The sequence below is a fragment of the Homo sapiens genome, chromosome 17 (genome assembly GCF_000001405.40).
Source record: "Homo sapiens chromosome 17, GRCh38.p14 Primary Assembly".
In the NCBI taxonomy this organism is placed as follows: Eukaryota; Metazoa; Chordata; class Mammalia; order Primates; family Hominidae; genus Homo; species Homo sapiens.
This window is the reverse complement of record NC_000017.11, coordinates 9,225,669-9,248,076: the sequence shown is the minus strand read 5'-3', so window position 1 is coordinate 9,248,076 and position 22,408 is coordinate 9,225,669. Positions and strand designations below refer to the sequence as shown.

Genomic DNA, 22,408 nt, shown 5'->3' with positions numbered 1-22,408 from the left:
TGAGAGGATGAGGAGCAGGGGCAGCAGTGAGGATGAGCCATACTGCCGAGGACCTGGATTGTCACAGGAAGGAGAAGGAAAGGAAGCGGGCTTGTTGTAGGTGCGTGTGTTCCTGAAGGAGAGGAGCCACGCTGGACAGGGGACCAAGGGCTTTCTGGTAAGGCGCCCTGGGATGCGCCTCCTCGTCGGGGTGGGGTGGTTGCTAACGGATCATCCAACGGACGATCAAGAATCTGCAGAGCCTCATCTTCCAGTCTTGTGCGAAACCCCAAATCTCTACAAACAGTGTCTCCTTGGAGGGAGCCCCCCACTTTGGGGCTCGGGGGAGGCGGCATTGACAGTCTGTTTGACTTTCTCACCTCCTCTCGACTTGCTCAGCACGGAGCCCCGGCAACTCGTGGGGCGTCTTTGAACCAGAGCCACGGAGTCCTGGCTCAGTCAGACTGAAAGGCCTTTTCAAGCAAAACACTGAGCCGATGTCTGCACACAGCGGCTTCTGTTCTTTTGGCTGAATGGGCTCTAGGCCCGACCCCAGCACTGCTAGCTGTGTGACCCTGGACAAGTTACTTCATTTCTGTGGACCCACAGGCAGGGCAGGGTGGATAAAAAGCTACCCAGGAGGTTAGAATGCAGGGACCTGCCGTCTAGGCTTGGGGCAGCGCAGGCCACACAGGGTGGGGACGGGCCGGGTAGGAAAACCCCGGCTCCCCTTTGCCTTCCTCAAGGGGTGGGTGACATATGAGACCCCCACCCCAACCAGGCCAGAAGTGGCAAGCATTACCCAAGTGGCTGGGATGTGTCCCTTTTGGGGATTTGCTGCCTCAAGAGCCACCCTAGAGAGCGTGGCTAATGTAAAGGTGGCATTTTCCAGCATGGTTTGAAAGGCTTGGCTGTCCCCCCTCAGAGCTGCCAGGACCACAGTCCTGGGTGACCCACAGTGAGTGCTTTGGAGTTGGCTGGGCAAGCCTAAAGCCCTCACCCCAAGCATAAAGAAGAGAGGTAAGGCAGGGCCTTAGTAGCCACCATGTCGGGTGCTTTTTCAATGAAAATAAACCGTGATTAAAATAACAGTGTAAGTACTGTTTAACCTAACCGATTATTAATTATAAGCATTTTAACTCTGGATACCATATAAAGAAATCCAGATACCTGGGTACAGCTGGTACTTTTGTTCCATTTAAACTTCATTTTTATTAGTAACTGTAACTAAACCTTAGCTATCATTAGCCCCAAGACGATCAGCTCCTTTCAAAACCCGCAGGGCCCCAGCCTAGACACGGCCTCCACCAGTCATTTGTGACTTTGATAGGGAAAATTCTTTCTCTGCTGCCTGCAGCCTTCGGCCTGGCTGGGATTGGGCTTTTTCCATGAGCTAGATCCCTGAAACTCTCCTTCTACGTGGCTGATGCAGGTTGCCGACGGCCCCTCTCCAAAAACTGCCAGCAGTTCGAGACCAGCCTGGCCAACATGGTGAAAACCCGTGTCTACTAAAAATATAAAAAATTAGCTGGGCATGGTGGCAGGCGCCTGTAATCCCAGCTACTCGGGAGGCTGAGGCAGGAGAATCGCTTGAACCCGGGAGGCAGAGGTTGCACTGAGCCAAGATCGTGCCACTATACTCCAGCCTGGGCGACAGTGGGAGACTCCGTTTCAAAAAAACAAAACAAAACAAAAACCTGCGAGGCTCCCTCCTGACTAGTCAGAGAGAACTGCTGGCTGGCCAAACAGCCGCATTGTTCCTCCAGGTCAGGAAAGAGTGCCTTAGCCTCCTTAGAATCGTATGCCCTGCTTCTTGAGGTTCACAGTGACACTGGTATCTTAAGCAGAGACTAGTTAAGGATCATCTCTTAGTTGGATTTTCTAACTCAGCCCTGTTGAAATTAAGTGCGTTTTTGCCCCTTATTTTAAAAAGGGGGCCAAGATCCATCTTTCCTCCGATTGCTTCCTACAATTTCACAGACTTCCTCCCAACTACATGTCAATAACAAAAGACATTGATCTCTTTCCAGAAATGACTTGCCGTCCCGCTGAGGCTCCAGTCTGATAAGGCAGGTGTGTAATCCGTCCATATCCTCTATCTCTTACTGGCTCCGTTGTTCTTTTCATTCCCCATTTTTCTTGGCCTATTTCTTATATGTCTTTATTTAGTTTTAAGAAGAGTGGAGAAAGAGATGTCTGTTCAACAAAATCTGAAAAGGGTGTGTCTGCTACAAGTGGGCCTCCCATGCCACTTGTCTCTGCCATCACTATCTCTGAGAGGCAGAGGGGAATGGGCAGGGGAGAGCCTTATGAATGACTGAGCCTCCCTGGTGGCAGGTCAGGTGGCCGGGCAGGCCCCATGAAGCTCTGACACCCACAGGGCTCTGACGTCCCTGCCCACCCACCATCAGGCATTTCTTACTGGATAGCACTGGCTTCTGGGTCCCTGATGGTGATCACCCAGCTTCCTTGTGACTCTGCATTCCCGTCTCTAAAATGGGCTTTTCCCACTACCTTGGGCCAGTCCTTAGCAGCAACGCAGCTTATTTCCTGCATTGAGTTTGGCAGATGCCCTCTCTCCCCAACTACAGCATAAGGTCCTGGGAGGCAGAGGGGCCGTTGACAGTACATGTTCTAATGTGTCTCTGAGCAACAGTGTGCTTCCTTCTGGCCGTGGGCCTGGGGCTGCAGCCACCCTCACAGGGCCCGACTGTGGTGGCGTCCCAAGGAAACGCGGCCCTCTCAGACACGCACTTTTTTTGTTTTTAAATGGACAGAAAAAAAGCCACATCATGAAAGTCCTTAAGAACTGGACCCTTGACCTAAAATGACCAAAGCTGAGAATGAAGCTGCCTCAAGTGCATCACAGGCCTCTTAGCCCAGTCTCTCAGCGGGTCTTAAATGCTACCAGCGGCCCCGCTGGCCCTGGGGAGCACCTGAGACCCCGGAATAGGCTTGCTTTCTCCTTAGCCTGTCTGGCCAACTGAGACCTGGATGTCATCCCTGCCCACCCACTGTCAGGCGTTGTCATTTCAGCAGAGACTTACACCTGAGACTGATTGGGACACCCGGAGACCACTCACGTATGTACCTGCCCTGGCTTTGACCCCAGGCTCTTGAGAGCCTAGCTCCCATCCGCAGAGCCAGACCCCCAAGGCAGCAGGGCTGGCCCTATTTCTTCCTGAGCAGAAGCTAATGGCATCTCCAGTCAGCTCTCCACACAGCAGGGAAGGGGCTTTCCATACCTTCGAAGGAAGGGCCTGTTGAGCCTGCGTTGCTGAGGGGCTAGACGGGGCCCATGGCGGAGGGCTGCCTTCAAAACAGCTGGGTGCAGAAATTATAGCTTCCTAGTGATGATCGGCCCCACTTTGCGTGGCAACACAATATGTTCCTAATGACTGAATTGTTTATTTAATAAAGAAATCACAACCATTTGGAGGTTTAAATATAGCCTCTCAGAAACCAAGTGAGCTCAGCTCTTGGTGGCTGCGTGGTGCTGGCACCGGCCCAGTCTCTGCACCGCACGAAGCCTTTAGCAATCGCTTGAAAAAAAATATTTTGCAAGATCTCTTGAGTTTCACTAACCCTGCTGTAGTTTCTTGAGTCTCTACTTGGCTTTCATAGAAGAAGCCAGTTATGTAAAAGTCAGAAACTACCTGCAGGTTCTGAATCAAATGGGGAGGGTCAAAGGTGGCTCTCCGCCCACCCGGGGGTTGCAGGTAAGGCAAAGTGGGAGGGGACCCCTTTCCCCCCACTCTGTCTTGGAACTCCAGGGAATGGCAAGGATGGGTCCCTGGAGTGGTTTCCTGCAGCCTGCAATACAGACTGTCCCATTCGAGAACCTTTTAGCTCAAAACAGCACGGCCAGCAAGGCCCTAGGACATTCCAAGCAAAACTGCTCTTCTCCTGCCTTCTCGGGGGAGTTAGTTAGGGCTCTGTCTCTGAGGCTCTGGGTAAAACCCAGGCTCTGACTTGCAGGGGAGTTCTTCGGCCTGAAGCCATATTCCTCAAACTCCCCGAAAACTCCATCCTTCCCCTGCCTCCCCACACGCCCACCTCCCACAGCCCAGGCCACCAATCAAGACTGCGAGACGGCATAGTGTACAAGAGTTTATTTAATGATATCTGAATTTAGTTCTATCATGTGGGGCCCACATTACAAGTTCCATCTGGGTCCATTACAACTCTAACCAACCCCCCACCCCCCCCCAAAAAAAAGGAAAGAAAGAAAATCCACAACTTTTTCCATGTCATTAAATATATTCATATATAATAACCATAATATATTAGTATGCATTGGAAAGGGACATTGACCCAAACAATACGTCATGGTCACAACTAAACATTTACAATTCTGAGTGAACAGAAATCCAAAACACAGGAGGGGGCAGAGGGAGGAGGGGAAGTGCATTTGGGAGGAGGGAATGGGAAGAAACGTCCAATGACAGGAGTGGGACTGGTTTGGCTTTTGGCAAGGGGCGAGACCCCACAAGTACACATTTTGATCCCCCCCGGTGTGCCATGGCCCACAGGAATGTCTTGTCCACGGACCATGGCCAGTGGCCCCATCAATGGGTCTAGTCTGTCCACTCTGGGCTTCAAGGGGACTTCCTTTAAGTGTTGACAGCCTAAGCGTCTTTCACTTTCCTGAAGGCAGGAACCATTCCCCAGTCCCTTAGGGTCTCTTCTTGAGTTCAGTCTCATTCCAACCTGGGACAACTCCAAGAAAGTAAGTCCGTACCCCTCTCCAGCATGCCGCGACTGAGGCAGAGTTCCAGGGCCTTGGAGCAGCTCCCAGCCTCCCTGGGCTGTGACCCTCCCTCCCTGGGTTGTGACCCCAGGTGTCCCTCCCTCCCACATAGAGGCCCCTGGGGATGCTGCCTCCTGCCCTGCTTTCCAAGGACAGAAGCAGTGGGCAGAGACCACAGCCAGCAGGTGAATCCCGGGGACAGCCCTATGTCCTCCCCCGCAAATCTTCGGCATTACTGCGTGTCCGTAAAGCAGGCACTCAGCTGTCAGGGGCACCAGACCACCCAGCTGGTAAGAAAAAGGACAACTGGGGAAGCTGTTTCAAAAACAAAGACTAATCTGGTATGTTTTTCTTCAAACAAACACCTACATAGCACAATTCTGGTTAATACACTCTTCAAAATCAAAATCTAGTTCCGTTTTACATCCCTTCCTAACTGTACAAACCGGGACACCTCAATTCCCATTTCCCTCTGCTCCTTGGAGTGGGGCACCGGAGTGGAGGAGGGGTGCTTTCCCAAGGATGGTGCTCACCGCAGAGGCCGGGGCTGCAGTCGGGAGTGGTGGGCTGGGTCCTGGCTGGGTGTGTGGATAGGAAAGGCAGCTCGTGACGACCGTGCAATCCCAACAGTGACCTGGCTGCTAGCATGGTGGATCTGGTCACCCTGACGCATTCCCCAAGGGCCAGACCACCGGGCGGACAGCCTGTGCCCTGCGGGGTGCTGAGCCGAAGGGAGGGGCAGGACACTGGCTGAATTTTCCGCAAGATGCCTTGTTGCTTGGCGTGTCGCCAGCTCCGTTGCTGAGGTGGCCTCAGAGACCACCACAAATGCAAGCCCCTCACAGGACACCCGTGAGACCCAGACCCAGGGTGGGATATCGTGGGGCTGCCACAGCCCTTCTGGGCAGGGTGAAGAAACCACACTGGCATAGACAGAAATAGGACAACCGCCCCAGCAGCGTAGTGCCTTGTGATGCTGATGGCGCCCAGCACACCACACTGGGCATCCGAGGGGCGCTGACAGCTTGGAGAGGGGCCCTGTCTTCTAGCCTTGGGCTGGATTCAGGGAAGCCAAATGCCCCTTCCCAGGGCAGGTCTGTCTGCTCCCTGCCCCTGAGGCACCTCTGCCAGTCTCTCCTGGAGTCTCTCCAACCACCCTGAGGCAGCCAAAACACCTTTCTAAAAACACCTTTCTACCACCTCTTCGGAGCATCCAAGGCCTGCCTTCCTGGAACCTGGAGCTGCCATCTGGCAAGTCCGTCCCTGCATCCCGCACCACTTTGCTGCCTCCTCTGAAGATGTGATTGTCCCCATGCCCTACCCCACCCCGGGCTCCTGTTCTCCAGCCCAGATGCCAGTGTCCTCAAGAGGCAGTAACCAGGGCCAGGGGCTCGGTGGCCACTCCCCCAAGAGCACCCTCCCAGCCTGCACAGGGATTGGGCGGGTAGGCTGCAGAGCTGGAGTGCAGTGAGGGCCAGCGTGGCCCCTGGTCAGAAAGTCGGGCTCTGGAGTTTGAGCCCCAGTCCTGCCACCAATTTGCAGCATGACCTTGGGCACGTGTACTCCAGTCTCCTTGCTGGTGATAATGAGTCCCTGTCCCACAGGGTTGTCATGAGTACACACTGGGAGCATGTGGGTAAAGTGCCTGGCACACAGCAGGTGCTCAATAAATGGCAGCCGTGATGCGGGTAAATGTGGGGAAGGCGGAGGGAAGCCAGACCACCGGGGGCCGAGCTTCATACTTGGTATGACCCTTTTGAGCAGCCAAACTCTGGCCGGGAAAGTGAAACCAATTTCCTGACTGTGAGGGGAGCCAGGCCTCTTAATTCAGTGCGCCGGGTGTGAGGATGTGGGCCAGAGGCCCGGGCAGTGCAGAGAGCCCAGGAAGGCAGGGAGCCAGGAGGCCCCAGGGCACAGGAATGGACCCTGTGTGAGGAGGTCAGAACAAAAGGGGCTGCCTGCTTGAGGACCGTGTCTCTAGGAGATTTTGGAAGGAGGGCTGGGGCACAGTGGAGGGCACGGGCAGACTCCACAAAGACCGTCTGGAAAGGCACGGTCAAGGTGTGGCCCAGGCCAGACCCAAGACAGCTGTAGGGGGCAGGCCGGCAGCCTCTGTGCCTTCCCTTGGAGAAGCCAGCATGGCCTCCTTGGCCCCCAGGAACCTGGTCATTCCTGTGCCCCTGCCCACCCATGGCTCAGGCACTCTGGTACTTCACTGAGCCAGCAAACCCCATCCCAGCTCAAACAAGCCCCCGGCCCCAAGCCAGGCCCAAGTGCCTTCGCAGCCTGCAGACTCCAAGCCCGTTCAGGCCCTTTCCAGCTGTTGACATTGCTGAGGGGCCTTGCGGGAGCTGATGTCATTTACATAAATAGTGTCACTGCCGTAAACCCAGCCAGTGCCCCTCCCCCTCCCCCTGGAAAACGTCATAAAAAGGGCTGGTTCCAAGTTTCCAAAAGGAAACTCTCTGGGAGGTTTTGCGTTTGCGATGCCTCCTCCAACAGGCAGCTCCAGCATGAGGCGGTGACCACCCGGCTTGGGCTTCTCAGGGGTGTCCCTGGGCCCACTGCCTTCCGGATGGGCCAGCCCCACGCTGGGCAGGGGCAGGGGCAGGGGCAGAGACAGGCAGCAGCAGGGGCTTCCTCTCCTCTCTCCACAGGTGAACCACTCACCGACCCCAAGCCCCCACCCAGTAGGACCCACTCAGCAGGTAGCAGTGGAGACAGAGGCCGCCTGGGGCATGCTGGCTGGACAGGAGCTGTCCACTCCCCAAATGCTGCCAGGCCCCTTCAGATGGAGGAGTCCAGGCTGTGACAGCCAGGTGGCCCGCGGGGAACTGCTAGAAGGGGCCGGGGAGAAAGGGGGGGATCCCGTCGGCTGCGTGTCGGGTGGTGGTTTGGTGGGTGCTCCGCGCCCCGCCCACACTACGGGCTTGAGAATTCACAGTTCTCCTCCCGTCCACGTCTCCGCGCCATCCACGCCCCGCGCCTGGGGCCCCAGTTGTGCGATTCTGCGCCCGCCCCCGGGCCCCAGGGCAGGCTGCCCCCAGCCCCTCCACGGCGGCCGCGCCCAGGCCCAGGGAAGCGCGTCTCTGCTCTGGAAGGAGCCCCGTGAGGTAGCTACGTCTCGTCATTTCTCCAGGGCCCGGCCGGCGGCGCACCCCGCCCCGCGTGCACGCGGCTCCCGCCCAGAGCGCGCAGGGTGGGGGTAGGGGGAGGGGCCGCCGAGGGTCCCGCCCCCCGCGCCGTGCGGCCCCGCCCCCTCCCTCCCCCCACCTGGGAAAGCCCTCGCGGGCCAAGTCCGCGGCGGCCGGGCCAAGGCGCCCGCTCTCGCTCGGCCCCGCCCTGGCGCCCGCCCGCCCGCCCGCCCGCTGCCTCGGCGCTAGGCCTTCTTGCACTTGCCCTTCTTCTCACGCTGCTGGAACTTGCGCAGCCGCCGCGCCCACGTGTCCCGCCACTGGATCACCAGGCTGCTTTTATCGGCCACGATGCCGCTCTGGTCCGGAGAGTCCTCCGCGTTGCCCAGCAGCAGGTACTTCTTGAGGGGCTTGATTTTGGGACACTTGCAGGCGATGTCCCGCGAGCGGATCCACAGGCTCTGGTCACCGCGGCGGATGCGGCTCGTGCCCTGCTTATACACGGAGATGATGTTCACCGTGAACTTCCACCAGTCCCCCGCCTTGTCCGCCTTCAGGATGTGGATCTGGACGGCTGCAAGGAAGCACAGGCAGACGGGTGGGCTCCCAGCTGCTGTGGCTAGGTCCGCCCTGCCTGAGCCTGGGGAGAAGGGAAAGGAGACCCAGCCCCAGGAAGTGACTGCACAGAGTGGCCCATACAGGAGCGCGTGGGTGGTGGCAAGCTGATCGTAGACCCCCACCTGCTAACAACAGGGCCAAGAAGCCTTGCCTCCCACGCTGTGAGGGTGCCACCCAGCACTGCCGTCGGGACAAGCCATCTCCTGGCCTTGTCAAGGCCCACTTTGTCCAGGAAGCCTACAGGTGCTGACCACGCCCCCAGCACTCTGGGCAAGCTGTCTGCCCAGGGCAGGCGCTCGGGTGAGAGCAGTGCTGGCGGGGAGAGGGAGGTTCCTCAGGGGTGCGCTTCTCCAAAGGCCCAAGTCACTTTACACCAGCCCTCATGACACTCCACACACAGCCTGGCCCTCCAACCAGCCTCAGAAAACCATAATGGGTCCTCAATGCTCAGGGACAGAAGATGAGAACCCACCCTTTGGGGTGGCCGTAGTGCCTTTTCCAGAGCCCCGGGAACCTTGGACTGCCGCTTCCCACGCCTAAGCCATCCCTACCAGGTGGCCTCCCTTCCTCCATGCCGCCCAAGGTCCCCAGACCATTCCTCTTACTCCAAATTCTCTGCCAGTATTTTCCCTAGTAGAAGGACTTCCCCAAATGGAGCATGCATCAGAATCCCCTGGCCGGCTTGTGAAAATACACTGCTGGGCCCCGCCCCAGAGCTTCAGATTGAACAGATCTGGGTGAGGCCCTAGAATATGCATTTCTCACAAGTGGTGCCGATGTCATTGACTCAGAGGACAAATGTTACCAGATGTCATTTCTGCAAGATAGTAAGGGAGATTTCAAAAATAAGAGACGCTAAATAAATGAGAAACTTTGCTCTAGTAAGTTTGTGAAATACTAGGTTAAACAAAGTCAAGAGGTTCCTTACTGCAAGACTTTTCAGAGCCTTTAACCTAAGAATCCTGTATACGTGTGTTGGTTTCTCAAACAACTGTGACTGCAGAACCCTTTGGTTGGTGCATCTCAGGTCACCAGAGCCTCATGGGGCCTTCTTGGGGACCTGCTGGGGGTGGACACATGATCATTGCCCCCAGACCAGGGGGTACCTGGAGGGGCCTCTGCTGTACTCACCTCTGTTCAAGAGAAACAGCCATCCACTCACTCCCCTGCCCCGCACTGTCTTCCCCTCACTGATCCCACCCTCACACACTGTAGCCTTCACTGGGCGAAACACCTTTATTCCCCAGGCTGGGCCATGGAGTAGACTTGAGCCCTCCTGAGACAGGAGCAGCAGCTTGAAGAAACCAACACACAGGCAAGCTCTGTGGCTTCAGCAGCCACAAGGACACCTCCCCAGGGAACGTCCAGCAGTCATCACTTCCCCACTTACCACTCCAGACAATGGAACCACCCCAGCTGAGCCTGCCCTCCTATGCTGGCTGGCTTCTGTCAACGTCTCTGGGGGCCACTCTGCTCCTGCACTCCGAGGGCACCCCCCTGCACCCACACATGGACCAGGGGATGGGGAGGGCAGGGACAGCCGAGTGCAGGAGAGCACTGAATGCCAACCGAGTCATCCTTCCAGGGTGAGGGAAGCGGATTTTCCCGTATTTTCATTTCAGCTGTTCCTGGGCATCCTGAACTTTGCACTCCAGTCTGAGGGCTCCAAAGAATGGCTGCCATGGCAACCGTTTCCATGTTTTTGTCACCAAGGGACTCAACACTCAGTGTGAACTCTGGGTGGGGGGAGCCCTCCAGCCCAGAGAAGTGGCTGGGCCGAGTGTATTTGACTGTGCAGACAGAGGTCACCGTGGCAACTGAGTGCCCCTTAGCTAAGCAATGGGGGAGCCACCCCCAGCATCCCTGAGAGCCCCGCTTTCCTCTCCCCAGGACTGAGCTGAATACGAATGAGCTCGGGATATGGCTGTTTCTGCCGTGCTGGACACCTCGGACCCCTTGTACAGCTGTGGTGTCCCCAGCCAGCATGGGCTGGAGCAGCCCAACAAGGATGCTGCAGAAGGCACCCTGGGCTGGGGCTCCAGGAGAGCTCAGCTTTGATCCCAGGCTCCGAGCATCTGTTGGTGCTGTGTGCTGAATGGTGTCCCAACAAATTCCTCTGTTGAAACCTTACACCTTAACCCCCTGGACTTCACAGGGTGACTTTACTTGGAGATAGGGTCTTTAAAGTATAATTAACTACCCATTAAAATTTTTAAAAATGTTAAGTATAATTAAGATGAGGTCATTAGGGTGGGCCCTATGACCTGTGTCCTTGTAAGAGGAGATGAGGACACAGACACACAGAGGGAAGACCCTGTAAGGACACGAGAAGGTGGCCATCTACAAGCCAGGAGAGGACTTGGAGGAAAGCAACCCTACCGACACCTTGATCTTGGACTTCCAGACTCCAGAGCTGTGAGAAATACATTTCTGTGGTTTCAGCCACTCGGTCTGTGGTACTTTGTTCTGGCAGCCCTAGAAGCTAATACAATTCATCTTGAAGATTTTGGGGATGTTGGGCCTCTGCTCAGGGCCAGGCAGAAGGGCAGAGCTGGCAGAGTCTCAAGTTTGCTGAGAAGAGGCTAGAGAAAGAGCTGGCTGGAGAAGGCCTAGCCTTAGACTTCCTGCAGAGGCCTCCCAGGGGGCCTTCTCACTCCCTGGGGTCATAGCAGAAGGGCCAGTGAGCCCTGCCCAACCCTCTCTGGTCTCTGAGCTTTCCCCCATCAGTGAATGCCCTGGAAACCAGGCATGGCATCCAAAGCAGCCCCCTGTGCTTCTCCAGGCACTGCCACACGGTCCTGAAGGGGACCTGCTTAACTGCCTAACACCAAGGGCAAAGCCCTGAAAGGTACCTTCCTCTGGACACCTTGCTGCCGGGAGTCCAGAGGGATAGAGCAATGGACAGTGGTCAGTCAGGACAAAGCAACCAGCCCTTGTCCTTCCACCCCCAGCAGATCTCAGCAACTCCAGGGGTGGGAGCTGTCCTGGCCGCAGGGGCAGGGACAGGTAGTGGTAGGACTCATGATTATGCTGGAAAAAGGCCACATTTCCGCTGCCCTTGGCAACACCTCTACACATTACACAGCTCACCAAGTATGAGCTACATATGCAGTGCATGGGCCAAGCCCCTGCCATGCACATACAGCTGAAAATATTCAAAATGCGCATTGCAACAGTGACCTCAAACAGACCTGCCCTGCAGGTCTGGGAGCATGAGCATCAGCACCCACACGGCACTCCACCAGGCTGCTGTCACCTCCGACCAACCTCTGGCTTGAAGCAAGGAATGATGGGGATCTCTGGGCTACATGGAACCTGGCGCCCCTCCCAACCCAGATGTACCTGTGATGTCACCCAACCAGGGGGCTTGGCACAGTGGTCTATGGGCAGCTCTGCCCATCTTAGGACCATGGCCTCGAGGACGGGCCTCTTAGACCCTATCAAGGTTTTAATGTTAGTACCCCCCCCCCCAAATTCTTATGTTGGAACTTGATATCCAGTGTGAGAATATTAAGAAGTAGGGTCTTTGGGACATGATCAAATCATGAGGATCTCACCCTGTGGATGGGATTAGTGTCCTTATATAAGAGGCTGACCGGGCATGGTGGCTCACGCCTGTAATCCCAGCACTTTGGGAGGCCGAGGCAGGCAGATTGTCTCTACTAAAATACAAAAAATTAGCTGGGCGTGGCAGTGGACGCCTGTAGTCCCAGCTACTCGGGAGGCTGAGGCAGAATTGCTTGAGCCCAAGAGGCAGAGGTTGCAGTGAGCCAAGATCACGCCACTGCACTCCAGCCTGGGTGACAGGGGACAGGGCGAGACTCTGTCTCCAAAAAAAAAAAAAAGAAAAAAAAAAAGAAGAAAGAAGAAGAGGCTGCAGCTAGTTCCCATGCCCTTTCCACTGTGTGAGGACACAGCAAGAAGGCAGCATTTCTGAAGCAGAGAGCAAGCCCTCACCAGACTCTGAATCTGTTGGCACCTTGATCTTGGACTTCGCAGCCTCCAGAACTATGAGCAATAAGTTTCTGTTGTTTATCAATCACCCAATCTAAGGGGTTTTGTTGCAGCAGCCCAGAACTGACTAAGACACACCCACACGATGAAACTCACCCCAAGCTAATTAGCCTCGGCCCTTAGCATGCCTGAACTCCCACTGTCCCTGCATTGATGTCCTAAAAGTTGTCTTCAACAACGCTGGAACAGGGGGGCTCTGCTGAGGATCCCCCACCATGTATTCAGAAAGGAGATGAGATTGCTCTCAGAAAGGCAGACGGTGAGGTCAGACCAGGGAGATGAGCAGTGTGCTGACAGCCCTTAAATTAGGGACTGCTGGCTGGGCACGGTGACTTACACCTGTAATCCCAGCACTTTGGGAGGCTGAGGTGGGTGGATCACCTGAGGTCAGGAGTTCGAGACCATCCTAGCCAACATGGTGAAACCCTGTCTCTACTACAAATACAAAAAAATTAGCCAGGCATGGTGGTGGACACCTGTAATCCCAGCTACTGGGGAGGCTGAGGCAGGAGAATCGCTTGAACCCGGGAGGCGGAGTTTGCAGTGAGCCGAGATCGCACCACTGCACTCCAGCCTGGGCAACAGGAGCGAAACTCCATCTCAAAAAAAAAAAAAAACCAAAAAACAAAAAACAGACAAAAAAAACCCAACAAATTAGGGACTGCTGGTATACAGGAAGAGGTCACTGCCTTAAGCCAGAATGGCCATTCTCTGAAGTGGACACAAGGAAGTCAATGAGGCAGATGTTAGCAGAGCCCCTCAACCCTGCCTGGGGAGGGGAGCCTGGCCTCCGCCTGCTGCTGCTTCTGGTTTTATCATAAGTGCTCAACGGCTGCGTCCCAGAGTCCACAGCTCAACTTCATCCTCCCTTCCTCGAGCCTTGCTGCCCCCAGAGCTGACTGCTGCAAGTGAGCGGGTACGCTCTTCCCAGGGGGCTCTGCTCAGGGCAGGGCTCTGCTGTCAGTGCAGACAAAACCAGGGTTCGGATGTGGGAACTGGAACCCTGGAGGCTGAATGGGTTGGGCTGACTGGAAGCCTAACTGAGCCCTGGTGCTCCACCATGGGGAGGAGGCGGGTGCCTAGAAAAGATGCCCAAGGGAAAGCAAGAAGAGAGTGCAGTTCCAGGGCAGCCAGGAGTGGCCTCTGCTGTCCAGGTCCTAGGCACCTGGCTGAGCTTTGTCTCCTGCCCTCAGCCCATGGGCCACCCCTCGTCTGTGCAGTAAACCCTCCTTTCCTGCAACCAGCCACAGAGCTCGGTGAACAAGGCTGCATGCAGGTGGGGTGGGGCAGCAGCAGCCCTCCCTCTCAGCAATTCTGGGGTTCACAGGAAGGTCTTTCATTCCAAGAACTCTCTCAGCCACCAGGACAGTGCGAGCTAAGAGGACTGGCTTCCCTTGCCCTAACCCACACCTGCCGCCCTGCCTACAGGGGCACACACCTTCCTCCGCCCCACAGGAGACGCCCACATGGGGCTCTGGAGGGCTGGCCGTGGCTCCGAGGAGGCAAGAAAGGGGCTCAGGGCCAGGTCCATGGGGGCCAGAGTCAACAAGGGCAGCCTGCCGCAGTGTGGAGTTGGTTACAGCCAATGGGGCAGGGGGCTAGGAGGCAGGCCCAGGGCAGGCTGGGTGCCTTGAGCACTTCCCTTGGGCAAGGAGGGCAGAAGTAGAATCAGAGAGCCAGACCCTGGGGAGGAGACCAGCCCTGTCCCCTGGGAGGTGGGCACAGTCAGGCCTGGCCTGTCCAGCCCTGGGTGTCTTTTCAGCTGCTGCTTCCCGCGTCCCTGGCTGCAGTGAAAGGCACCAGAGTGAGCATCTGGTCTTCCTTCCTGGGGTACCTCAACTTCCCCAGAGTCCCAATGTTGACCCATTACCAGGCCGTCAAAGGCAACCTGAAGAATGGGGAACTCTAGGTCACAGCCTATGCTTAGATTCCTCCAGAGGGGGACTTGGAGCATCCCTGTCCTCTGTCCAGACCCCAGTCCATCCAAAACCTCCCTCCCTCCCCAGTTCCAGTCCGGGCCCAGGAGCCACCATAGCCTGTGAGCTCTAGACCTTCTGAGGACCCTGCATTGTCACCACCCCAGAAAGTTGGTGGCAGGAGTAGATGGGAACTGACGGATGCCCCTCCTTGCAGATTTGGTGGACCTCCTGCTGGGATCAAAGCTCCCCGCCCGGGCCAGGTTGTAGGAAAGCTGTCCGGCCGGTGCAGAAGTTATAGATGCTGCCCATTCATCTGCCTGTTGGGAACCGACACAGGGCGGGAAAGGCCCAGCCCCGAATAAACAACTTGCAGGCTGGGCCCTGGGGGAGTGGCCGCAGCACAGACTCTGGGGGCTGCTGGCCCTTCTCCTTTCCCTGGCAAGGCCTAAGTGTGTGGGACACCTCCGCGGGGAGGCTTCCTACCTCCTGGAGGTCTCGCAGATTTATGGGCTGCTCGAGGTGGGCCCCCAGTGGCTCCCAGCAGCTTCCCCCTCCGAAGGAGGCTGAGGTGGTCAGCCTCTCCCCTCCCCTACACAGCCATACCTTCCTGTTGGGCCGGTCCAGCTAGGGGAGGCTTGTCACCCATCTGCCTCGGAGACAGCGGCCAGGACAAATGAGGGGGAGAATAGGAACCCCACAGAAACCATGAAAGCCGCACAGCCCCATAAATCTCCCGCTGTGGAAAGCGTGTCACGAGCTGCAGCTGCTTTCCTGAAATGCAGCTCTGAGCACATGCTTCCCAGGCCCTGCGAAGGGAGGAAGGGCCGCCAGAGCCAAGGCTTGGTCTCAGTGATGCTCATCTGCCCTCTCCTGACTCCTTGCCGGGGAGTGTGGGAGAGGGGGCCGCCACACCCGGGACGGGGGGTCACCGTGGCCCCTGCCCAGTCTATATCAAACAAGGCAGAGGGCTGGAGGCTCACTGTGGCCAGGCCTGGCAACTGCCACCGCTGCCCTCAGGAGTCCTCAGGGATCTCCTGCCATGTGCCTGCCACCGGGGCCCTGCCCCAGGACTTAGACAACATGAGGACACCCAACGTAGAGCTGGCTGAAGGTTTCCCCTCAACCAAAGACAGAACAGGATGACCCTCTCTCTCAGAACTGAAAGCAGTGTGGATGCTGCCTCAGTTTCCCCTGCTAGGTCCTGGAGGTCCTAGAGAGCCAGACCCTTGGGGAGGAGACCAGCCCTGTCCCCTGGGAGGTGGGCACAGTCAGGCCTGGCCTGTCCAGCTCTGCACCGTGAGGCTCAGCAGTGAGAAGAGATCGGGGACTGGCACCCTTCTTAGCAAGAGGCTTAAGTAGGGAGTGGATCTGGGCCCTGCTCTGCCCCAGCTGGGGTGCCCTCGGGATGCAGGCTGCTGCCTCCAGCACAGCAGCCTGGGGGAGAGCCTGCTGCCCAAGGAGGAAGCCGCAGCCGCCTCCTTCTCCTGCCTCCGAATTCCACACTTGTCCCCCCGACCCTTTAAGGGGCTGGGCCCACCAGAGGCAGGGACATGGCTGTCAGAGTCATCCTGAAGGGTGGACAGTGCTCCCCTCCCCCGAGGCCCTCCCACCTCTGGCTCAGCCCCAGTGCTCCGAGGCTGGCTGGAGCAGCCAACCAGCTCCCTGAACAAAGGCATCGGTGAGGGCTGGGCCCGCGGGACATGCCATCGAGAACCACCCAGTAGGAGGGTGGAGCAGTGAGCGTCCCCCCAACCGCCCCGAGGCCAGCGCCCTCAGCAGCAATGGGGGCCCAGCCTCTGGAGGAGGGAAAGTGAGAAAGCCAGCCTCCCTTGGCATGGGCTCAATCCAGTCCACCTTCAGCTCCCTCCGGGGCTCCCAGAAGGCTTGGTGTGGAAGGTGTTTCAGCCAGAGGCCCACCAGGCCTGCAGATGTATATTAATACCACTCCACAGAGCGGGAGTGGCCCGGCTGAGAACCTCTCAAAGACCGCCCATTTCTCCACCAAGGTGCCACCTCCAGCGAGCCCCTTTGCCTGACAGCCAAGAGCATCCCCTCACCGCAAGCCGGGCTGGCATTTCCAGGGCGCTCCCAGGGCACCCTGGTGTGGAGCCCTGTCCCGTGTGGGGTTAGCATCCATGCACTCTCTACACACGGGACTTGGCTCGGAACTCGTCAGCTCCTAAAAGTCAAGCCATCTTCAAAATCTGCTTCCCTGAGGAGACCTGAAGGAAGGAGCTGAGACCTGGGGGCCACAGCAGGGTGGGGGCAGAGCTGAGCGCTGCCGGATGAACTGACTCAGGGGTCAGGGCTTGCAAAGATGCCCCCCAAAGCTCCTGTAGACTACTTGGGAGGCTGGGGTCCCCCCCCGGGTACCCCATGGTATCTCAGAGGCCTGAGCCCAGCACAGGCAGAACTGAGCTGATAGGTTTGTGAAGACTTTGAGACAGGCCTCAGGAAGGAAACCCAGGAACAATGGCGGGGGTGCTGAGGTCCTCAGTGCCAAAGGCACTCATCCCAGGGGAGAGCCAGCGGGTACACCTCACGAAATGCCCACCCGCGCTCTGCGTCGGGAGAAGATCTCTGTGGTCACGGAGACACAGGGCACGGCTGAGCCAGGAGAAGACTAGCCTTTCCCGCCTGGTGTCCCCAGCCCCACACTCCGGGCACCTTGGACAGATCCCCACCCCACCCCTACTCTGAGCTTTGGTGTCCCCATCTGTAAAAGGGCAGGAGATACTGTTCATCAGATGCCTCTGTGGCCCCTTAGAGCCCTCTCTCCCCACCCCTCCTTCCTAAAAACAGGATGCTCAGAGGAGAGGAAAACAGCATCGGGAGAGACAAGAGGAAGCTCCAGGGAAGGAGCAGATGAGGGCCAGAAAGCTGCCCAGATCCCAGGGAGGGCCCTTCTGGGGCCCATCTCTCCCCTCAGGGCTCCCGCTCTGCGGGATGGCAAGTCGCTGTGCTGGGAAGGGCCGCATCCCCCCAGAGCCTCCTGGGCCTGGAGACCCCAGCATCACAGCACCCTGCCCCCACCGGGCTCTCACCAGAGCAAGCTTCCTGTGGGCTCTGGGGCTTTTCTGTCGAGCTGTCATGGGGACCGACTGGCCTTCCCTGGCCAACCTGGTGGTCACCCGCATTCCACGACCTCAGACTGACTCACGCGGGCCCAGCTCCACATCTGGCCTCCATATGGGGCTGGCACTCGGGGGGGGGGTCACATCTGGTGGGGGAAATCAGAGGATTCCCCAGGGGCCGGTGACCCCAGGGAAGGGTCAGCAAGTCTCCGAAACACCATGCCACGTGCTGCTGGCTGGTCTGCGTCCTGTCCCTGGACAGGGGGGCAAGCTCGGGAGAGGTGGCCTTTCGCAGCCATCACATCAGCTGCCTCTGGGCCCACAGCAGGGGCCCTGACCTTGGGGGACAGCCCCCAGGGTGCTCCTCTAACATCTCTGCCCACATCCAAGACATAGTAACTTCATCCCTACAAAGGGGCTGATAACCTGTCCAGCTTTCCACACTTGAAGGGATTGAGCCCGATCAGGAATAGCCATTGACTCCAAGGTCAAGAAAAGGAGAGAGGGTGCTGCTGAGGGGGAAGAGTCCGTCATTTGCTGAGAGGCCCCGTGTCCCTGAGGCTAGCTGGAGACAAGAGGCGGGAGTGGTGAGACCCTCCCCTCCCCGGCTCATCTGATTCCCAGCCTGAGCGACTGGACAAGGGCTGAGCCAGGACCGGGATCCATCCACCACCGCCCACCACACACTGACCCACATCAGCTCCATAGTGAGCTACGGTCATTCCCACCACTGCCTCTTCTCTATGCCTGCCTCCATTGCCAACTAGGTCTCCCCCCTCACCATCAGGGGTCTTCCTGGAAGCTTCCTCGAACACACAGCCATGCCCATCACCAATCCACCTCTGGACCACCACCCGCTACCACCAACATCCCTGCCACTATGCCCAGTGCCTCTGCTCCATCATCTCGGACATCCCCAGCACCACGGTGCCCGCTCCCGCCTGTTTGCCCATGAAGATGTCTCTGTGGTCTCTCCTCCAAGGCTCATCCAGAGTCAGTGGCCCCGATGGGGTCCCAGTTCTTGAGTGTTCTAAAGGACTGCCGCGCCTACTCCTGCTGCCAAAGCCTGGCCTCCCGGGTGTGGGAGAGAAGCAAGGTCTCAGCCGTGGAGTACCTAATCCCGCGCAGAGTATTTTATCTTGTTGAGTCTCAGCGTCCTATTGACAGGAATGAAAATCCCTCCCTCACAAGGTGTGTGTGGAGATTAAATAAGGATGAGCATCAAGGCTGTGATGTGCCCAGTCCGGGTCCCAGCAGCGGGAGGGAATAGTTGTTGGCTGGGCAAGCCCTCTACTTGGTTTCCACTGGTTCTGGAGGTACCGGGGCACGCAGACGGTATGGTGATGCAAATCAGAATTCTGCTCAGGTCCCCAGGCCCACTGCTTCCACGGACCCCCAAGAGAGCACAGTCACACACACACAGTCTCACACAGTCACAAACAGCCACAGTCACACACTCACAGTAACACAGTCACACACTCACAGTCACAGTCTCAGTCACACACACAGTCACAAACACAATCACACACGCATAGTCACACAGCCACACACCCAGTCACACAGTCTCACACAGTCACACTTACAGTCACAGAATCAGTCACACACAGTCTCAGTCGTAAACACAATCACACACGCAGAGTCACACAGCCACACACCCAGTCACACACGCAGTCACACACAGTCACGAACACAATCACACATGCGTAGTCACACACAGACACACTCTCATACACAGTCACACACACACACACACACACACACACACACAGCTGAACAGATCTGGCTTCTCCCCACAGATGCCAACAGAACATCCTCCTTGAGTTGTATCCTCAGAAATCATCCTTGTGGGATGTCAGGCGGAATACTTGAGACAAATCGTCCTGTGAGAAGCATTTTGATTTTTCCATCTGGTGGTGCCAAAATGTCTTTCAACAAAAGGGTGACTAATAAACATTTCTGGGAACGAATAACTTTTCCAAGAACTGGCAGAAGTGAGATGATCTCACCTTTCAGAATGTGAGCTCTCTGTCTCCCCCTCTTTCTGAGTCCCAGGGAGTAGGAAGAAGCCAGCGGCAGCACCCAGGCCACCTGAGGCAGGGGATCGGGGCGTGGATGGGAGCCCCCGCGTGTCCACGTGAGCTGGAGGGGTCAGAGTGGCTTCGGCACACAGATGCAACTGATGAGGCCAACACCAGCCTCTCTCCAGCCTCCCTGGGCCCCACACTGCACTGAACGCCCCCGCTCTTACTCTTCTCCCGTTTCCTCGTGCTATGCCTAGCTTCTTGCTTAGAGACCTTCCTCCCTCCACCGAGGAGCCCTGCTTTGCCCAGTGAGCACTGGCTACTCAGGCTCCCTCCTCCAGGAAGCCTTCCCACCCTTGCCCCCTCTAAAGAATGGGCCACACCGTGTGTGTGCCCACCTCAGGCTGCAACCCGGCCACACCCCCTCCTTCTGTGGCCCTTGTCTGTATGTCGGTCTCCCCTCCTAGACTGTAAGCTCTCTGAGGGTCAGGACTGAGCCTCACACAGATCTGCAAGCTCAGCACCCAGGGCAGGATGGGGCCCACAGCAGGTGCTCAATGAACGAGTGTGGAGGGGAGGCTGGGCCAGGACTTCTCGGGATGTGCAGTGCTGTGATGGTGTGTGTGTAATGGTGTGTGCATGTGTGATGCTGTGTGTAGTGGTATGCGTATAGTGGTGGGGTGTGTGTGTGATGGGGTGTGTGATGGGGTGTGCATGTGTGCGATAATGCGTGTGGTATGTGTGTAATAGTGTGGGATAGTGTGTGAATGTGTGTGATATGTGTGTGGTATGTGTGCCTGTATGATAAATGTGTGAGTCTGTGTGTGATAGTGTATCTGATGTGTGTGGTGTGTGTGCGTGTGATACGTGTGTCTGTATAAGTGTGGTGTGTATATCTGATGTGTGTGGTATGTGATGGTGTGTTTGATGTGTGTGCGTGATAGTCTGTGTATCTGATGTGTGATGGTGTGTGTATGCATGCGTGTGTGATGTGTGTGTGTGATAGTGTGTGTGCCTGTGTGTGATGGTGTATCTGTGTTTGATGTGTGTGGTGTGTGTGATGGTGTGTATGTGCATGTGTGTGTGCTATGTGTGTGACTGTGTGTGACAGTCTGTGTATCTGATGTGTGGTGTGATGGTGTATGTATGTGTGCATGTGGTGTGTGTGCCTGTGTGATAGTGTGTGGTGTGTGATGGTGTGTGTATGATGTGAGTGTGACTGATAGTCTGTGTATCTGTGTTTGATGTGTGTGGTGTGTTTGTGATTGTGTATGTGTGTATGCGTGCATGTGGTATATGTGCCTGTGTGATAAAGTGTGTGTGTGTGATGGTGTATGTGATGTGATGGTGTGTGCATGCATGTGGTATGTGTGCATGCGTGTGTGGTATGTGTGCCTGTGAGTGGTGTGGACGTGAGCACAGCGGTTGTGTGAGACGTGGGAGGCAGCGCAGACAGGAGGAGGTGAGGATGGAACAGTGGAGCTTCTTCCCAGGAGCACGGGGACGGGATGGGAGGAAGAGGTTGGAAGGGAGACGGGAAGGGAACAGGAGGAGGCAGAGGGGCTCCGCCAAGGAAGCCTCTTGGCTTGGTGGGGTGTGAGGCGGGGCCTCGGGGGGCGGGGCTGGGATGCTCCAGTTCCCTGGCGGTGGTTTCCGGGGCTGTGGTTTCAGGTGTGTGCTGTGTGACCGCAGGGCAGGTGCCTCCAGCAGGGCCTTGCTCCGCCTGTATCTGAGCTGCCCCACAGGATGCCAACTGTGTGGTGAGCACGCACACACACCCACGCTCACTCGCCGCCTCCTCGCAGAGGAAGGGTCCCTCCAAGGTTGGGCTTTCCTGAGAAGCTGGCAGGAATCGCGAATATGCTTGAAAATAATAAAACCTATCTTCTGGAAATAACTGCTACCCACTCAGCCTCCCTGGCGGCTCTCCTCCAAGCATTTGTAAGAACAGCCGGATCCCCTAGAGGGTAACAGAGGACTGAGTGCCCCAGGAGAGGGCGGCCAGGTGACCTGAGACAGCCTCCCCACGAGACCGCCTCCCCACGAGACCACCTCCCCACGAGACCACCTCCCCACGAGACCGCCTCCCCACGAGACAGCCTCCCCACGAGACAGCCTCCCCACGAGACCGCCTCCCCACGAGACCGCCTCCCCACGGCCCCCACCCCTTAGACACGGTGCCTGCTGTGGGCGGGGGGCACAGCCAGGGTCTCACTTAGAAGGATATCATGTGCCCTCCACTACACCTCCATGTGACAGATGAGGAAACCGAGGCCCCGGCGGCGAAGCTCCCTGTCCACAGTCACACAGCAAATTAGGAACCTGCGTCTCCAGCGCTCCCTTCGGTCCTGGGGTCCCTCCGATATGAGTGGCATGGCAGGGCCTTGGCACTGAGGCCCCCCCCCGACCCCAAATCCCTTTGCCTTGCTTCGTGCCCTTAAGCCTACGGGAGCTGGGCTCTGGCTCTCTGTAAGCGTGTGCCCGAGAGAACACGGGACAGGGCCGGCGCCCCGAGCCCACAGGCCCCTTCTCATGGGCCCCCACCGCCCCAGCCTTCCACCCTCTGGCCGCTGCCCAGGTCCGCGGAGCCCCAGACCCGCGCTCTTCAGCCACACGAGGGCAAGGTCTGCGAGGCCTGGAGGAGGAAGGGGGTCCGGGGCTGCTGGCAGCCGGGCCTGCTCTTCACCCAGCAGGGGCAGCAAACCCCAGGTTCTCATTAGCGGCTTCTGGAACATCCAAGTGCCCTGGGTGAAGGAAATGTGTTTCCTAATTGGCCCCCTGCCGGGTGTCAGTCAGAGAGCGGGGATTATGCAGCCTCCGAGGGAGCCCCTGCCCGGCCCGCCCTGGCCCGCCCGGTTTGGCGGCCTCCCCTGCTCTCTCATCCCCAGGCCAGATCCCT

At 57.4% G+C, this 22,408-nt stretch overlaps 1 protein-coding gene and 1 long non-coding RNA gene across 4 annotated transcripts in view, besides 5 other annotated features; both read right to left on the bottom strand.

The window, feature by feature from the left end:
- Nucleotides 1-4,076: 4,076 nt before the first annotated feature.
- NTN1 (netrin 1) overlaps nucleotides 4,077-22,408 on the bottom strand; it is a 240,914-nt gene continuing 222,582 nt past the window's right edge. For all 3 annotated transcript variants that reach the window (XM_047437096.1, NM_004822.3, XM_006721595.4), the window contains exon 7: nucleotides 4,077-8,437. In XM_047437096.1, coding sequence (XP_047293052.1) covers nucleotides 8,109-8,437 — 329 coding nt within the window. In that variant the 3' untranslated portion in view covers nucleotides 4,077-8,108. The remainder of the gene's footprint in view (nucleotides 8,438-22,408) is intronic.
- Nucleotides 7,645-8,094: a silencer, noted in NCBI's record as "silent region_8197". NCBI's record gives its function as "represses an Ori minimal core promoter by ATAC-STARR-seq in GM12878 lymphoblastoid cells {active_cell/tissue: GM12878}" and the evidence as "EXISTENCE:reporter gene assay evidence [ECO:0000049][PMID:35858748]".
- On the bottom strand, nucleotides 9,093-21,543 carry LOC124903923 (uncharacterized). The gene is made up of 2 exons (XR_007065614.1): nucleotides 9,872-21,543; nucleotides 9,093-9,298 (listed from the first exon to the last, which is right to left on the bottom strand). It is a non-coding gene; the product is annotated as an uncharacterized LOC124903923 (long non-coding RNA).
- Nucleotides 17,694-18,195: an enhancer, noted in NCBI's record as "H3K4me1 hESC enhancer chr17:9133199-9133700 (GRCh37/hg19 assembly coordinates)". NCBI's record gives its function as "activates a minimal SCP1, AML or CMV promoter by ChIP-STARR-seq in naive H9 embryonic stem cells {active_cell/tissue: H9 hESC(naive)}" and the evidence as "EXISTENCE:reporter gene assay evidence [ECO:0000049][PMID:30033119]".
- Nucleotides 19,774-20,274: an enhancer, noted in NCBI's record as "H3K4me1 hESC enhancer chr17:9131120-9131620 (GRCh37/hg19 assembly coordinates)". NCBI's record gives its function as "activates a minimal SCP1, AML or CMV promoter by ChIP-STARR-seq in primed H9 embryonic stem cells {active_cell/tissue: H9 hESC(primed)}" and the evidence as "EXISTENCE:reporter gene assay evidence [ECO:0000049][PMID:30033119]".
- Nucleotides 20,775-21,325: an enhancer, noted in NCBI's record as "H3K4me1 hESC enhancer chr17:9130069-9130619 (GRCh37/hg19 assembly coordinates)". NCBI's record gives its function as "activates a minimal SCP1, AML or CMV promoter by ChIP-STARR-seq in naive H9 embryonic stem cells {active_cell/tissue: H9 hESC(naive)}" and the evidence as "EXISTENCE:reporter gene assay evidence [ECO:0000049][PMID:30033119]".
- Nucleotides 21,326-21,877: an enhancer, noted in NCBI's record as "H3K27ac-H3K4me1 hESC enhancer chr17:9129517-9130068 (GRCh37/hg19 assembly coordinates)". NCBI's record gives its function as "activates a minimal SCP1, AML or CMV promoter by ChIP-STARR-seq in naive H9 embryonic stem cells {active_cell/tissue: H9 hESC(naive)}" and the evidence as "EXISTENCE:reporter gene assay evidence [ECO:0000049][PMID:30033119]".